Raw genomic sequence first — 17,144 nt, 5'->3', positions numbered from 1 at the left:
CATCATTTTCTCTACCATTGGCCACAATTTAATCATAACTGGGAGGGAAGCTGGGAGATGTCATCTTTATTTTCAGCAGCCACAACCCCAGCTAAAATACTGGAACATTCTATTTCTTTTTTTTTTTTTTGAGACACAGTCTCACTCTGTCGCCCAGGCTGGAGTGCAGTGGCGCAACGTCCGCTCACTGCAAGCTCCGCCTCCCGGGTTCACGCCATTCTCCTGCCTCAGCCTCCCGAGTAGCTGGGACTACAGGCGCCCGCCACCTCGCCTGGCTAATTTTTTTTGTACTTTTAGTAGAGACGGGGTTTCACTGTGTTAGCCAAGATGGTCTCGATCTCCTGACCTCATGATCTGCCCACCTCGGCCTCCCAAAGTGCTGGGATTACAGGTGTGAGCCACCACGCCCGGCCCTGGAACATTCTATTTCTTTCTTTCTTTTTCTTTTTTTTTTTTTTTTTGGGACAGACTCTGTTGCCCAGGCTGAAGTGCAGTGGCGTGATCTCGGCTCACTGCAACCTCCGCCTCCTGGGTTCAAGCGATTCTTCTGCCTCAGCCTCCCGAGAAGCTGGGATTATTGGCACACACCACCACACCCAGCTAATTTTTGTATTTTTAGTAGAGACGGGGTTCACCATGTTGGCCAGGCTGGTCTCAAACTCAGGTGATCTACCAGCCTTGGCCTCCCAAAGTGTTGGAATTACAGGCATGAGCCACCGCACCTGGCAGGAACATTGTATTTCTAGAGAGGAATCAACTATTGAAGAATTGGCACCTTCTCCCAAAGGAAGCGCTGGGGAAGTCAGTAGAACACAAAGAACTGGATGAAAGGGATGTAGTAGAATGGCATGAGCCTGCAACGGGCAGGGTTTTCTTTGAACTGGGTGAACAGTCTGGCAGTGGTACGAGGACCCCGACTCCCCAGCCTGGGGAAGATGAGATATGTGAGGTTGAGGTTTGAGAAGAAAAGCCACCACTTGGAGGGGCTGCAGAAGTGGCTCTCAGAGGATAGCTGGTTTTCCATGAAGGCAAGGAGGGAGCAGAGAGCTAGCCTGGAAGGTTCACCAGAGGGCCCTTGGGAGTGGGTGAGTGGGAATGGAGCTGGGTGGGGGTCAGCAAGGACAGGGTTATTTGGTTACTGGATGAAAACACGGATGAAAAGCCAGTGGACTTGGTCTTGATAGTGTCTGAGGAGGGTGGGTCTTACTTGGCCACTGCGACCCAAACCAGAAACTGCTCCCCCTTCAAAATCCACGAGTTTACTTATCACAGCCAACCAGGTTACCTCCCATGCCATCCTTTGACTTTTGCATCAAGCACTTAATAAACTTAATATCTAACCCTTGGTACCAGCCCCCAAATTGTATGTTCGATACTATAAATTTGAAAGACATACATATATCCTTTCCAAGGGTCAGGAAAGAACATTCAAATGTCAAAAATGATCCGGAGGAGTCCCATACTGCTCAGGGTAGGTCGCTTTGCAAAGCAATGAGAAAAATCTCTGAAATAGTTGTTTTCCCCATAGCCATCATTTAACATTGTTTCATTATTATCAGTTTTTTCTCAGGGTGGCTACTCTACCAGGAGCACACAGAAGTGCTCAGCGCCCCCACCCAGCTCTCCTAGCCCTCAGGGATCTGGGATTATAGTCTCCATTCTCAGGCAAACTCCTTTTATCAAGATGTTGAACATTCTAGGGAGCCAACTGACTTGAGGTGTACAACAGAACAGTCATGAGGAAGGGACCTCTATCCACAGTCCTGTGAGCAAAGGAAGCAACAGACAGCTGCCAGCACAAAGTCTCAACACACTGCCTCCAGGAAGTAAGACTGCAGGATGGCGGGAAGCAGATGTAGTATGGGTGCGCCCAGCCCCCCTCACCATCTGTGGACCCCAGGCAATGCAGTCAACCTTCATTCATCCTTTATTGAAAAGGCGGGGAGGGGCTATCAAGTCCTTTGCTGAATTTTAGTGAGAATTAATTCAGATACATACCAAATGCCTCACACATGCGTGGCTTGAGCTAAGTGTTATACACAGCTATTATTTTTAATTCTATTACACATAAACTCCCTGAGGCCGGTGACAGTGCTTTGCAATAATAACTAATCAACAACAGTCAATGCAGTAAGTGAAGAGTAGAATTCCAGCATACTAAAGGGTTAGGATCTAGGGATGAGAGCCCCAACCACCTCTATCAGAAACAGAGCTGCTGGGCCAGCTGTAGTGGCTCCCACCTGTAATCCCAGCACTTTGGGAGGCCGAGGCAGGCGAATCACTTGAGGTTAGGAGTTTGAGACCAGCCTGGGAGACATGGTGAAACCCTATCTCTACTAAAAATACAAAAATTAGCTGGGTGTGGTGGTGTGTGCCTGTACTCCCAGCTACTCGGGAGGCTGAGGCAGGAAAATTGCTTGAACCCAGGAGGCAGAGGTTGCAGTGGGCCGAGATCACGCCATTGTACTCCAGCCTGGGTGACAGAGTGAGACTGCCTCAAAAAAAAAAAAAAAAAGAGAGCTGCTAATTTAGAAGCAAATAACAGGAATGCTGGGTTCTGAGGCCAGCCCTAAGACAGCCAGAAACGCTGAGAAACTTCCACAAGCAACAATTCCTTACATTCAGTGCAGTGTAGCACTTCAAGAGAAATCCAGAAAGTTTCAGTTCCAGATGAGAACAATGAGGTGGTGAGGGGCTGATCTGCATACTATTGCTGAATTTGTCTGCACCCGCTAACCCCAATGATGAGAAAAGGGAGCGCAAAACATCCCTCAGAGCCAAGGAGGCAATTGCACACCGGTGATCACTGGGTGTTGTGAAGTGGGCAACAGAAGCCCCTGTTCGGACCTCAGGAGTCCTAACTTTTCCTTGTCGCTCTTTTCTCTGAACCACATGCTGTTTCCTGGGCTGAGAAAGGGCATGCCATGTTAGAGCAGAACTGAAAATAGACACAGCCACAGAAGGAACATCAGCAGGCAGATTATCGAGTCCGCTGAGATTTTGGCATTTTGGTCCTTGTCTGTCCAAGATATTTTTGGAAATAATATGGGGTGCTCCTGAAGGTCATGGGGGAGGGGGCAGGACCCACTTAGGTGAAAAGCCATGGGGCCCAGGTGAGCCCCTGTGGCCAGTCAGCAGCTCCCTTCCAGGGTCCAGTTTCGGGCATTGATAAAGAGCTGGAGCCAGGGGGAGGTGGTCAGAGTATCAAATGGAGGGGGTCGCCATGCCCACTGCCAAGGCCTAACGGCCCGCTCAGGGTGAGGCATGACAGCCAGGTGGCGGCCATCACAGGAGCAGATGCCAGCCACGCCCCCTGGGGACCCATTGGGATTCAGAGGGTACTGCTCTGTGGGGTTCCCGTCATCATCAGCCCAGTGCAGTGGAGCCAAGCCCCTGGCCTCAATCTGAGCTTGGAGTTCCGGAGAAGAAAATGCTACGTAACCTGGGATGGAAGGAGGAGGGAAGTGAGAGCCAAGGTCCTTCATGCCCACCCTTGCCCCCAACCCTCGGGCCCTCCCCCAGCCTTCCTTGGGCCTGACCTTCCCCGTGCGCACTCCACACGGGCAGCACGGCGCCCTCCATCCCTCGCAGCATCAGGGCTGGCCCAGGCCCCACACGCACGCTGGCCCAGCGAGACTCGTAGCGCCCAGACAGGTTGTGGCGTAGCAGAAGGCCTGGCCGGGCTGGCTGGGAGTCAGGGCCCATCTCTGCAGCATCCTCATTGGGGTCGCCTCCCACCCAGCCGAGCAGAGCCAGCAGTTGACAGCCATTACACACGCCCAGGCTGAAGGTGTCTGGCCGCTTCCGGAAGCGCCTCAGCTCAGCCCCAGCCCTGGGATGAAAGGTCACAGCAGCTGCCCACCCTAGCAGGGAATAGGGAAGTCAGGGTGAGACATGGAGGACCTCAAAAAAGGGAATTGGGAATGAAGGGGCATAACTGCTCTGTTTCTTTTCTTTTTTCTTTCTTCCTTTTCCCTCCCTCCCTCCTTCCTTCCTTTCCTTCTTTCTTTTTTTTTTTTTTTTGAGATGGAATCTCATTCTGTCACCCAGGCTGGAGTACAGTGGCATGATCTCGGCTCACTACAACCTCTGCCTCCTGGGTTCAAGCGATTCTCCTGCCTCAGCCTCCCAAGTAGCTGGGATTACAGGCGCCCGCCAGCACGCCTGGCTAATTTTTGTATTTTTGCATGCCTGTAATCCCAGCTACTTGGGAGGATGAGGCAGGAAAATCGCTTGAACCCAGGAGGTGGAGGTTGCGGTGAGCCAAGATTGCGCCATTGCACTCCAGCCTGGGCAACAAGGGTGAAACTCCGTCTCAAAAAATACATATATATATATATATATATTTAAAAATATACATATTTTAATAATATATAAATAATATATATAAATAATATATTTTAATAATATATAAATAATATATATAAATAATATATATTTTAATAATATATAAATAATATACATTTTAATAATATATAAATAATATATATAAATAATATATATTTAATAATATATATTTTAATTACATATGTGTATATATATACTTTTTTTCAATGAAAAAATTAAAAATTTACTACCAGCCTTCTGTTGGCATGTGGCCCAGAACGAATGGGCCCACTCTCTCGTAGCTCGGTGGAGTGAGAGGCCAATCCCCAGCCCAGGAAGATGGGGCTAAAGGCACCTCTTCAGGAATGTGGGGGAAGGGAGTGGGCAGAAGCCTGCACACTGACCTTTGGCAGAGCCCAGGACATCTGCATAGCTGAAGCCGCCCACGAAGGCCACGCCACGGAAAGTGTCCAGCCCAATTGCCCCAGAGCAGAGGTCCTGCATGGTCACGTCCCATACCTGCGAAGGTGGGGAGGGGGAGTGTGGGTGGGAGGACACGCAGCTGAGGCTGGACAATCACCCCCAGCTGCCCCCTACCCTGCTCACCTCAAACCCAGCTAAGTGGAAGGCATCGGCCATCTCCCGGTCTCCATTACTGCCCTCCTCTCGCAAGATGGCGACTCGGGGGCTGGGACCACCTTGGGGGAGAATAAGTGTCTTTGGGCCAGAAAGTCACTTCCCCACCCCAACTCCCCAGACACCTTTCTGAGGGCAGGCCCAGGCATCCAGGCTCAGTGCCCCCAGGACGCGGAGCCTCTGCACACACTCCCTCACCAGGCTCACGGGGCACGGAGGCTTTGGGAAAGGTGGGGGGCAGGCAATAGCTGGGCCCCATCCGCTCCCTCAGGCCCCGTTCCTCCTCTGCCACACAGCGAGGCTCTGCCTGTAGCCGGTCCAGCTGGAAACTCGTCTCCTCCCAGAGGGCTCGCAGCTCCCCAACAGGCTCCTCCAGAACCACAGCCCCGTTCACTGACACCCGGACCTAGGAAGAGGAACAAATCTCCCACGGGCTAGGAGAAAGGATGGCCCCCTCCACAGTGGGAGAGGGATGGACCGCGGCCACCCCACTCTGACTGCCCACTGCACACCGCTCTCTCCCTCACTTCCTCACCATGGCGTGGGGCCCGGCCTCGCCTGTGTGGCCCAGCTCCAGGCAATGGAGGCCAGCATCCCGGTAACGCTTCAGCACCTGGGCCAGGTCTGGCTCCTGCACCTCCAGCACGAGGCCTGGCTCCTCAGCGAACAGCACAGACAGGACTGGGAGAGCAATGTGGGGAGTCAGGGGGATGCAAGAAGGGCCAAGGGAGTTGGGGCGGGATCAGGGAAATGCAGGAAGGGCCAGGGTGAGGGTCAGAGGGATGCAGCCAGAGAGTAGGGTAGGGATCAGGGAGGATGAGGGCTAGGACGGCAGGACTGAGGATGTTTCATCATGGACATCTCAGGGATGGGAAGTCTCAGAGGGGTGCAGTCAGGAACATGGTGGGTGTCAGCCAGTTCCATCCAGTTCAGCTGTCAGAGAGACAGCACAGAAAAGCTAGTCAGGGAAGACTCAGGGAAAGGGGACTGGAGGGCACTCCACTCTTTAATATATTGGAAATGGGGTCTGCAGGGTAGAGAAGGCAGCCCGGGCCTGAGACTAGACCCCAGGTTCCTTACCATCAACCCTGGGGACAGGCACATCCACCTGTAGCCCGCAATTTCCAGCAAAGGCCATCTCCAGCAGGCATGTGACGAGGCCTCCGTCACTGACATCGTGGCCTGAGCAGAGGAGGCGGTCTGGAGGAAGGAGAAGAAAGCTCAGCAACCTCGGGACCCAAACCTGACAGCCCCACCCCACCTTCCGGAGTCAGTCCATCAAGAGTGTGTGTCAGAATGTCAGGGGATCTGGGGTACATCGTCCATTGGAGTCCCTTTTGCCCCACTGCTCAGATGGTGAACGCCTGCTGCACGCCTGGCACCCTGTGCGCTATCTCCCCAGGGGTCTTCACTCACCTTTCAGCAGCCCCTGAGTGATGCTGAAGGCCCGCACCAAGTTCTCAGGAAGGTCCAGGTCTGGAGGGTGTTCCCCAAGCTGGGAGAAGCACTGGGCCAGAGCTGTGCCCCCGAGCCGGTGCTGCCCAGGGCTCAGAGCCACATAGAGCAGATGGCCTGGGGAGACGGGGAGGGGTGAGGGGAGGGGAACAGCTCAGGAGGACCCATCCCTGAGGGGCTCACAGCACTGCTATTCCCAGCATGTGGTGAGACACCTAGACAATCAGTCCCAGAAAACACCACAGCCCAGTGTTGAGATGGGGGCCCAGCACTCACAAAGCAGGAGCCAAACAAAGATCACACAAGCAAAGATCACAAAGGATGGGGCCATGTCCATACCTCTCCCTTCAGGATGCTTGAGGTCTGGGGTCACAGTGGCTGTGATGTCTGGGCAGACGGCATAGGCTGAGATGACCAGTGACCCTGTAGAGCAAGGAGGAGTCCAAAGGAATGAGTTGCCAACCCAGCTCCATAGTTCCTCCTCCCCTCCCTGGGGCTCCCACACCTCACCAGGAGCCCGCACGGTCTCAGTGCCAACCCGAGCAGCCATGCTGAGGGAGTCCTTGCCACCATCCACTGCCACACCCAGGGCTGCCATCACTGCCACCATAGCCTCACAGGCATCCGCCAAAGCTGCGCCCTCCCCTGGGAGCTTGGCTGCCCACATCCAGTTCCCGCTACACTTCACATCCTGGGGGTGGCAGAGGCACAGCATTAGAGGGGAAGAGAAATGTGGAGAGGCCAGGGGTGCAGGCGGACTGGGAGGTTGCAACATGAAATGAAGGGCTACAGATGGATGTGGAAGGGTCCTGAAGCCCGGGGGCTCCAGGATAGAAGCTGTGGGAGAACTCACCCGGAGGTCAGTGACCAGAGCAAACACCAGGTTGGTGAGGGCTTCGGCCACGGCCAGCCGGGCGGCGACTTTTGGGTCCAGCAGGCTCTTGACTGGCTGTTCTCCCAAGGCTGTGGCAGCCCCTATGAGCTCCTCATGGCTCAGTGCCACAACCGCTACATCTGCCAGAGGAGTTTGCAGGGGCCCCACGCACTGCTGCTGGGCCACCAGGCCTCCCACAGAGCGGTCCACCTGTGGAACCAGGTGGGGTTAGCAAGAGAGCAAGGGACAGGGACAGCCTGAGCTCCCGCACATGCCCCCAAGGCACTCAGGGCAGTGGGAGGCCTGTCTTTCCCCCAATGCAGACAACAGCTCTACTTAGAAGGTGGGTAGCAGGGAGACCAGGCCATCAGGGTGGCTGCCCTGCCCCTGCTGCTTCCTGCAGGGCCAGGCAAAAACCCCCACAGCACTTTCTAAGGGTGGGAGGGCAGAAGAGGCTGAGCGGAGGAAGGAGGCAGGGGGCAGAGGAAGGGTGCAGGGAGGACCTTATTGGTGAGGTAGCGCTTGCTGGCCACGGCGGGCAGCCTCAGAACCCTCTCCAGAGCCTGGTGCACGCTCAGCCCTGGGGGCAAGGCCAGAGGCTGCAGCATGGGGGGCTTCCTCTGCAGGAAGAACTCCTGCAACACAGACAGCGACAGGCAGTGTGAACACCTGGGGCGGGCTGGGCACACAGGCGACAAAGTGCACGTAGGGTAAAGGGTGGTGTGGAGAGGACCACAGGAAAAACCCATCCCCTCAACCCCACATACCTTCCGAGGCATCTTGCCCAGCACCCATTCGAGCTCCAGGTCCACAGGGGTTGGCAGGGGTGTCGGGGGGGCATCCCCCTGGCCATTTCTTCTGACAGGACACTCCCGATCGTCCACCAGCACTATCTATAGACCACAGGGACCCCACCCAGAGGGGATGAGACTATGAACACCAGCAAGGAATGTTCCTAGAAATCAGGGCACAAATGTGCTTTCCACTCCTTGTTTGGTTTCCATATTGAGTCCCTGCCCCTCCTTGGATCCAACATTCCCCACAGCTTGTTTGCCACTACCTCCCATCTTCCTCTCGTCTCTCTCCCTTGACAGCTCTCCCTCTAGCCCATACCCAGGTGGCTCATGTCTGCCCCAGTGTTTGCTCCCAACTCCCTGGGCCAACTCACTCTCCGGTCTCCAGTGATGGTGCCCACGAAGCAAGCCGGGCAACGTTCACGGGCACTGACATGAGTCAGGAAGTCCCGGTTGGGGGACCTCAGCAGAAGAGCATTTGATTCCTGGTACTCAGCCCCCCAGATTTCCAGGGCATTCAGGGTTGGGTCCCCAAGCTGCACAGCCACGGCGGGGAGGAAAGAGAAGGGCCAGTGGGCACTCCCACGTCTCATGTTGTTGCAAGAGAGATGGGTGGAAGCGGGCTGGGGCTGGCAGGGGTGGGAAAATGTCACACTTCAGGGGACGAGACCCACCTGGAAGCGGCTGGTGTAAATGATGGCTCCAGCTGGGTCACTCAGCTCTTTTAGGACATTGCCTGGTGAGAGGGTTGCAAGGAGAAGCAGTGACCTAGTGGTGGTCAGGCAACAAAGGGCAGTCCCTGGCCTCCAAAGGGGCCTGTAATTTGGTGTGTTCCTGTGTCAACTGCTGCCGCACCCTTACCACCAATCATCCCACGGCAGCAGGCTTCCACCCTTCCAACCCTGAACCTGTCTAGAATGTACAGAGCATGGAGAATGGGACCCAGAGCTGGGTGGTTGGTTGGAGATTCCTGATACCTCTCCCTAAACGAAACCTGGCAGGATACCAGGCAGGCCCAGTCTCTTGTTCCAACTCCTTTCCTCACCATTGCCACCAGCGCCCTGATCATGAAGGCTGCAGATGGGGTTTCCCTTGGGGGCCTCCACACAAGCCCTGATCACACGGTTCATCTTCTGTTCCATCTCCGGGTCTCCTCGCTGCACAGCCCCAAAGTCCAGGTCACTGGTGTTATCTCCCTGCACCTGGGGGCATATATGGCATAGCTCAGCTCAGCGAGACTGGAAGCTCCTATACGCTCCCCTATGCCTGGGGCCCGGTTATATCAAGGATTCTGCACCTTTAGCAATTCCCACTCACCTGCACAGATGAAGCAGCTCCACCTCCAACTCCAATCCTGTAGACGGGACCTCCAACCTTTACAACTTCCATGCCTGTAAGAAGGGAAGGCAGAATCAGAACACTGGGGAAGCCACGAGAAGAGGCCTCGAAAGCAAGGCAGCGTGAACACAGAGGAAGCTGATGTTAGGGAGAAGCCTGACCAGCTTTTTTTTTTTTGAGATGGAGTCTCGCTCTGTTGTCCAGGCTGAAGTACAGTGGTGTGATCTCAGCTCACTGCAACCTCCGTCTCCTGGGTTCAAGCGATATTCCTGCCTCAGCCTCCTGAGTAGCTGGGACTACAGGCGCCTGCTATCGTGCCCGGCTAATTTTTGTATTTTTTCAGTAGAGACAGGGTTTCACCATCTTGGCCAGGCTGGTCTCAAACTCCTGACCTCAGGTGATCCGCCCACCTCGGCCTCCCAAAGTGTTGGGATTACAGTCGTGAGCCACCCTGCCTAGCCCAGAAGCCTTACCACTTGACTGGGTTGATAGGAGAGTAAACTGATATCAACTACGGAGGACGATTTGGCAATAACAACCAAAATGACAAATGCACACAGTCTCTGATTGGGTAAATACACTTTGAGGAAGTCATCCCGCTGATTTATTTGCACAGGTATAAAATCACCTACTTACAAGATTAAACACCACAGTAACGTTTGTATTAGCAAGTACATGAAATAACCTAAAGGCTGACAACAGAGACCTCATTAAGTAAACTATGGTAAGTCTATACAATGAAAGACTAAGCCACCAAAAAAAGAGAATATAGGAATGTAATGAAGTAATATGATTTCATCAATATGAAATTATTTCCAAGATATACTGCTAAGCGAAAAATGAAAAAGGCAAAAATATCTATGTCTATTTACAGTAGCATCAAAAAGAATAAAAATAATTAGGAATAAATTTAACAATAGAAGTAAGGCTTATACACTAAAAACTTTTTTTTTTTTTGAGATGGGGTCTTGCTCGGTTGCCCAGGCTGGAGTGCAGTGATGCAATCTCGGCTCACTGCAACCTCTGGATGCGGAAGGGTCCTGAAGCCTGGGGGCTCCAGGGTAGAAACTGTGGGAGAACTCACCCATACTCCCAGCACTTTGGGAGACTGAGGCGGGCGGATCGCTTGAGCTCAGGAATTCGAGACCAGCCTGGCTAACACAGTGAAATCCAATCTTTACAAAAAATGCAAAAATTAGCCAGGCATGGTGGCCGGAGCTTGTAGTCTCAGCTACTCAGGAGGCTAAGGTGGGAGGATTGCCTGAGCCCGGAAGATGGAGGTTGCAGTGAGCTGAGATCGCACCACTGCACTCCAGCCTGGGTGACAGAGTGAGATCCCATCTCAAAAAAGAAAAAAGAAATAGGAAAGGATCTGAATAGATGTTTCTCTAAGGAAGATATACGCATAGCTAACTAGCATACGAAAACATGCTCGGCCAGGTGCGGTGGCTCACGCCTGTAATCCTAGCACTTTGGGAGGCTGAGGCGGGTGGATTACCTGAGCTCAGGAGTTTGAGACCAGCCTGGGCAACACGGTGAAACCCCATCTCTACTAAAATACAAAAGAAATTAGCTAGGTGTGGTGGCACGTGCCTGTAATCCCAGCTATTTGGGAGGCTGAGGCAGGGGAATTGCTTGAACCCGGGAGGCGGAGGTTGCAGTGAGCTGAGATTGCGCCATTGCACTCCAGCCTGAGTAACAGAGCAAGACTCTGTCTCTACAAAAAAAAAAAAGAAAGAAAGAAAACACGCTCAACATCATTAGTCATTAGAGAAAAACAAACCAAATCCACAATGAAATACTGCTTCATACCCACTATTATGCCTTACAATCAAAAGGACAGATATTAACAAGTGTTGTCAAGCATGTGGAGAAACTGGAACCCTCACACACTGCCAGAGAGAATGTAAAATGGTACAGCTGCTTTGGAAAACAGTTTGGCAATTTTTTGAAAAGCTGAACATAGTTACCACATGACCCAGCAATTCCACCCCTAGTTATATACCTGGGAGAAATTATAACATATGTTCATACAAAAACTTGTACATAGGCCGGGCGCGGTGGCTCACGCCTGTAATCCCAGCACTTTGGGAGGCTGAGGCAGGCGGATCACGAGATCGGGAGATAGAGACCACCCTGGCTAACACGGCAAAACCCCGTCTCTGCTAAAAACACATAAAATTAGCCGGGCGTGGTGGTGGGCACCTGTGGTCCCAGCTACTCGGGAGGCTGAGGCAGGAGAGTGGCGTGAACCCGGGAGGCGGGGCTTGCAGTGAGCCGAGAAAGCGCCATTACGCTCCAGCTTGGGCGACAGAGCGAGACTCCGTCTCAAAAAAACCAAACCAAAACAAAACAAAAAAACTTGTACATAAATGTTCATAGCAGCATTATGCATAATAGCTAAAAAGCTGAAACAACCCCAATGTCCACCAACTAAGGAATGGGTAAACAAAATGCGACATAGCTACATAATGGGATATTATTCAGCCATAAAAAGAAATAAAGTACTGATGCAACGGATAACCCCTGAAAACATTAAGCTAAGTGAAAGAAGGCAGACACAAAAGGCCGCATATTGTATGATTCCATTTTGGTCATGGGCTGACTAATGACATTTTGCTTAACAACAGACCACATATACAACAGTGATCCCTTAAGATTATAATTGTGCTGAAAAATTCCTATTGCCTAGTGGCATCGTGGCACGCTGGTGGGTGATGCTATTGTAAATAAACCTACTATACTGCCAGTCACACAAAAGTATACTGCAAACCATTATTGTATGTATACTACATAATACTTCATAATGACAATAAATGACTATTACTGGTTTATGTATTTACCACACTTAAAAAAAAATTTTTTTTTTTTTGAGACAGAGTCTCACTCTTACGTCCAGACTGGAGTGCAGTGGCGTAAACTTGGCTCACTGCAACCTCCACCTCCCAGGTTCAAGTGATTCTCCTGCCTCAGCCTCCCGAGTAGCTGGGATTATAGGTGCGCGCCACCACACCCAGCTAATATTTGAATTTTTGGCAGAGAGGGGGTTTCACCATGTTGGCCAGGCTGGTCTTGAACTCCTGACCTCAGGTGATCTGCCCACCATGGCCTCCCAAAGTGCTGGGATTACAGGCGTGAGCCACCACACTCAGCCTACATTTATTTTTTATTTTTATTCTTTTTTGGAGACAGGGTTTCACTCTGTCACTCATGCTGGAGTGCAGTGGTATGATCATAGCTCACTACAGCCTTGAGCTCCTTGGCTCAAGCGATCTTCCCACCTAAGCCTCCTGGGTAGCTGGGACTACAGGTGTACACCACCATATCCAGCTAAGTTTTATTTCTTAATTTTTTTAGAGACAGGGGTCTGACTGTATTCCCCAGACTGGTCTCAAACTCCTGGCCTCAAGTAATCCCCCTGCCTTGGCCTCCCAAAGTGCTGGGATTACAGGCGTGAGCCACTGTGCCCAACCAACTATACTTTTTACTGTTATTTTAGAATGTACTCATTCTACTTATATAAAGCAAGTTTATTCTGGCTGGGCACCATGGCTCACACCTGTAATCCCAGTGCTTTGGAAGGCTGAAGCAGGAGAACTGCTTGAGCCCAGGAGCTCAAGGCCACAGTGAGCTAGGACAGAACCACTGTTCTTCAGCCTGGGTGACAAAGTAACACCCTGTCTCTAAAAAGAGAAAAAAAATCTGACTTGAGAAAGAAAATGCAGATTAAAAATAATAATAATTAACAAAAAAGAGAAAAAAAAGTTTACCTAAAAACGGTATGCCATGTTACATTGACAGTAGCTTCATATTATCTCATATTTACCACGTCTTTTTTTTTTTTTTTGACAGTGGTGCGATCGCAGTGGTGCGATCTCCACTCACTGCAACCTCCACCTCCCAGCTTCAAGTGGTTCTTGTGCCTCAGGAGGCTGGGACTATAGGCATGCACCATGACGCCTGGGTAATTTTTTTTTTTTTTTTTTTGAGATGGAGTCTCCATCTGTCGCCCAGGCTGGAGTGCAGTGGTGGGATCTCAGCTCACTGCAAGCTCCACCTCCTGGGTTCACGTCATTCTCCTGCCTCAGCCTCCGAGTAGCTGGGACTACAGGTGCCCGCCACCACACCTGGCTAATTTTTTTATTTTTTTAGTAGAGACGGGGTTTCACCGTGTTAGCCAGGATGGTCTCGATCTCCTGACCTCGTGATCTGCCCACCTCAGCCTCCCAAAGTGTTGGGATTACAGGCATGAGCCACCATGCCCGGCAGATGCCTGGCTAATTTTTGTGTTTTTAGTAGCAACAGGGTTTCAGCATGTTGGTCAGGCTGGTCTTGAACTCCTGATCTCAGGTGATCCACCTGTCTCAGTCTCCCAAAGTGCTGAGATTACAGGTGCGAGCCACCCTGCCTGGCCCACCACGTCTTGATTGCATTATTTTCTCTTGTGCTTATTTTATTCTCATGCTGTTTTGTTCATCATGGCTCCCAAGTGTACAAAATTCCTGGATAATATTGCCAGTAAGAGGCTGTGTGGATCGTGTAGCAGGCTATGCCATCTAGGTTTGTGTATGTACAGTCTATGAAGTGGGCACAATAATGAAATTACCTAATAGCCACATTTCTCAGAATGAGTTGTCCATCATTATGTGACACATAAGATAAGCCAACATATTAAAAACTAACCACTGAAGTGTTCCCTAAGTTCCCTCCCTGTAGCCATCCTGTGCTGGGGAGAAAGCTGGCTGGATCCAGAGAAAGGTGGCAGGCTCTTACCTGGCTCTGGGGCCTCCTTGCTTATGTGGTCAGCTTCCATGGACCCAATGCCCCCACTAAACATGATGGGCTTGATCCACTCACGCCGCTGGCCGTCTGGGAGCTGGAGGCCCAAGGAGCGGGCGAAGCCTGGAGTGTGAACATCAGAGGGACCTGTCACTCAGTTCCCCCAGTGCTCGCCCAATAGCACAGCCCCTGGGTCGCACACCCCACCCACAAGCCCCTCTGGGTGTTTGTCATCCCTCCACACCCCAGCCTCACCAGCCAGCACTGGTTCCCCAAACTTGTTGCCATAGTCAGAAGCTCCATTACTGGCTTCAATGGCAACCTCCAGGGGCCGGGCAAAATTCCCAGGATACTGGAAGCTTGGATCCTCCCAGGGCAGATTGTAACCTGGGAGGGAAGGAGAGAGAACTGGATGAACTGAATGAACTGTGAAGACAGGCCGGAGCAGCCTGCATCCTTCAGGAAGAGTCAAGGCCACCAAGGACCACCTGCATGGTTGCAATGTTCCACTTCAGGAAGTCCTGCTTTAGGAAGCCCTAGAGCCTGCAGTGAGGCACTGGTCTTCTTTCCACCACCCACACCAGCCTTCCCTCTGAATCTCGCAATCAGAGTTACACAGGCTTTCTGTTTTTTTTTTTGAGATGGAGTCTCGCTCTATCACCCAGGCTAGCGTGCAGTGGCGTGATCTTGGCTCACTGAAAGCTCCGCCTCCCGGGTTCACGCCATTCTCTCGCCTCAGCCTCCTGAGTAGCTGGGACTATAGGCGCCCGCCACCACGCCCAGCTAATTTTTTGTATTTTTAGTAGAGACGGGGTTTCACCGTGTTAGCCAGGATGGTTTTGATCTCCTGACCTTGTGATCCGCCCACCTCAGCCTCCCAAAGTGCTGGGATTACAGGCGTGAGCCACCACGCCCAGCCAAGTTTCTCAGGCTAAGAAACCAGATTTGAGGGGCAGGTACTGATCATAAGACCAACCCAATATCATGCTTTCTGGCTGAATGAAGGCTAGTTTTTAAAGAAAATCGTAGACCTGCAAAAGCAGTCTGGCCACCTCATCTCCCCAGGTCTACACTTATGACCATAGTTAGTGAAAGGCCAGCTATCCTAGAGCCCTTCCTCCTGAGAAAAGGCACACAGGATAACCCTATGGACCTAACAGATAGAAGTTTGCTGCCTGCCAGGACAAGGAATCTGGAAGGGAAGGTGGATAGAGAGGAAGGAGATGGAACCTGGAATATGCAGATTTCCAAAGCAATAGCCGGCAGTGCCAGCCACCACGTGGGCCCCGCGGCCTGTGCACTGGACATCTCGAATCCGGCCCCCTGTGCCAGTGGTTGCACCACTAAAGGGGCATACTCCTGCAAAGAGAGAGTGGGGAGAGGTCTGGGTGCCTCAGAGACAAACCCCCATCTCTGACCACCCCCACTGAAAATAAGGACAACCAATTTCCCTGATTATTTTCCCCAGGCCCACTCCAGGGGCCTGGGACCTTTGCCCTACCCTATTCTGTGATCTCACCTATTTCTCCAGGGAACCCAGCTCACCTGTGGGAAAGTTGTGAGTCTCTGCTGTGAAGACAACATGTCTCAGCCCTTGCTGTTGCTGGAAGCGGCTTGGCCGTGTGGGGTCCTCAGGCCGTAGGAATCGGACTTCCTTTCCCTGGATTGCACTGTGGACATACCCGTCATGGACCTTGCTTCCTTTCTGGGACCTACACTAACCCAACCAGGGCCTGGGGCCTCCCCTCCCCGGGTCCTGACGCCAACCCAGTCTAGGGCACAGCACCTGCTGTTATCACAGAATTTGAGGACGTTGTTGGGGTTCGAGGATTCCTGGGTGCTCATGATGGACTCAAACAGTGAGTGCACCAGCTTCTGCCCATCCACGTGGAGCTGGCCCTTGAAGAACCAGTGTCGGCTGTGCTCGCTGCAGGGGGCGATGCAGGGAGGGGAAGGCAGGTGGAAACGGGGTCATTTCTTAATGCCATGTCTTCTCACCAGCATTTAACAGCAGAGTTACAGCCAAATTCATACTTAGATGACAGATCAAAATATATTCCAAAAAGTCATAATCTTCAAGTATTCTGTCATTTTGGACTATCCAGAGCCAAAGTGAAGATAAAACCAAGATTTGAATGTAGACTCCTTGATGGATGACGGGAGCCCAGGCCCTCAGAGACTCAGGGAGGCCCCTAAGCCAAGGGAGGAACATGAAGGTGAGCCCCTGTGGTCTCTCCCAACACCCATGGGCTCAGGTATGGGAACAACCCCATTTCTCCTCACCTATTGGACTGCGCCAAGTCAAAGGCCTCCACAGTGCTCGGGTTCCGCTGTAGCTCCTGGAAGCGCTTGGTGTAGAAGTCTAGGTCCCAAGAGTCTAAAGCCAGACCTAGGAGACAAATCCAGGAAGAGGTGACTATGGAACTCAGGCAGCCACATTCCAGATCTCAGCACCCCTACTGGCCTATCCTGGACCCTACATCTCCCTCCCCAGCTACTCACCAAGCTCCTGGTTGGCCTTCTCCAGCGCAAGCCGGCCCTCACCCAGTATATTGATAGGGCCATTGAGGGGTTCCGGCATGCTCTCAGGGGAGAAACTCTGGATGGGATGGGGGAAGTGCTGCTCTGTCATCCGGTCGTGCAGGGTAGCCAGAGCAATGGCTTCCACCTCAGCTGACGGGGGGTGGGCAAACTAGGGGTGCAGACACACAGAGGGCAAGGGGTGAAGAGTTTAAGAATGGAGAGAAATGGTCCACCTTCCTACCCTCTTAGTCATGCAAGGCTAGCCCACTGCCACACCATATGGCACTTTTTCTCAGATTACAAAAAGACGCCCTTTCCAGGTATGAATCCATGCCAGGATGCACAAATTAAAGGAAGCATAGGCTGGATTTCTGCCCCATTTACCCCTCAACCAGGTACTTTCAGGCAGTGAACAACTT

At 52.1% G+C, this 17,144-nt stretch overlaps 1 protein-coding gene across 7 annotated transcripts in view; it reads right to left on the bottom strand.

The window, feature by feature from the left end:
* Window positions 1–1,909: 1,909 nt before the first annotated feature.
* Window positions 1,910–17,144, bottom strand: part of PFAS (phosphoribosylformylglycinamidine synthase) — a 22,879-nt gene continuing 7,644 nt past the window's right edge. For 2 of the 7 annotated variants that reach the window (XM_024450804.2, NM_012393.3), the window contains exons 5-28: window positions 16,705–16,894; window positions 16,486–16,591; window positions 15,989–16,129; window positions 15,748–15,872; window positions 15,433–15,561; window positions 14,458–14,589; window positions 14,197–14,325; window positions 9,403–9,476; window positions 9,131–9,287; window positions 8,760–8,821; window positions 8,460–8,621; window positions 8,059–8,184; window positions 7,795–7,926; window positions 7,271–7,501; window positions 6,928–7,108; window positions 6,757–6,840; window positions 6,379–6,534; window positions 6,043–6,162; window positions 5,498–5,643; window positions 5,161–5,368; window positions 4,933–5,024; window positions 4,731–4,845; window positions 3,540–3,863; window positions 1,910–3,442 (exon numbers count right to left, since the gene is read on the bottom strand). In XM_024450804.2, the coding sequence (XP_024306572.1) occupies window positions 3,132–3,442; window positions 3,540–3,863; window positions 4,731–4,845; window positions 4,933–5,024; window positions 5,161–5,368; window positions 5,498–5,643; window positions 6,043–6,162; window positions 6,379–6,534; window positions 6,757–6,840; window positions 6,928–7,108; window positions 7,271–7,501; window positions 7,795–7,926; window positions 8,059–8,184; window positions 8,460–8,621; window positions 8,760–8,821; window positions 9,131–9,287; window positions 9,403–9,476; window positions 14,197–14,325; window positions 14,458–14,589; window positions 15,433–15,561; window positions 15,748–15,872; window positions 15,989–16,129; window positions 16,486–16,591; window positions 16,705–16,894 (3,633 nt within the window). In that variant the 3' untranslated portion in view covers window positions 1,910–3,131. Of the gene's footprint in view, window positions 3,443–3,539; window positions 3,864–4,730; window positions 4,846–4,932; window positions 5,025–5,160; window positions 5,896–6,042; window positions 6,163–6,378; window positions 6,535–6,756; window positions 6,841–6,927; window positions 7,109–7,270; window positions 7,502–7,794; window positions 7,927–8,058; window positions 8,185–8,459; window positions 8,622–8,759; window positions 8,822–9,130; window positions 9,288–9,402; window positions 9,477–14,196; window positions 14,326–14,457; window positions 14,590–15,432; window positions 15,562–15,747; window positions 15,873–15,988; window positions 16,130–16,485; window positions 16,592–16,704; window positions 16,895–17,144 lie in introns of those variants that run through there. The other 5 variants (XM_047436295.1, XM_047436296.1, XM_006721546.4 and 2 more) reach the window with 5 other exon arrangements.

This window comes from Homo sapiens, chromosome 17 (genome assembly GCF_000001405.40).
Source record: "Homo sapiens chromosome 17, GRCh38.p14 Primary Assembly".
Classification (NCBI taxonomy): Eukaryota; Metazoa; Chordata; class Mammalia; order Primates; family Hominidae; genus Homo; species Homo sapiens.
The sequence above is the reverse complement of the archived record's forward strand: the minus strand, read 5'-3'. Positions and strand labels throughout refer to the sequence as shown.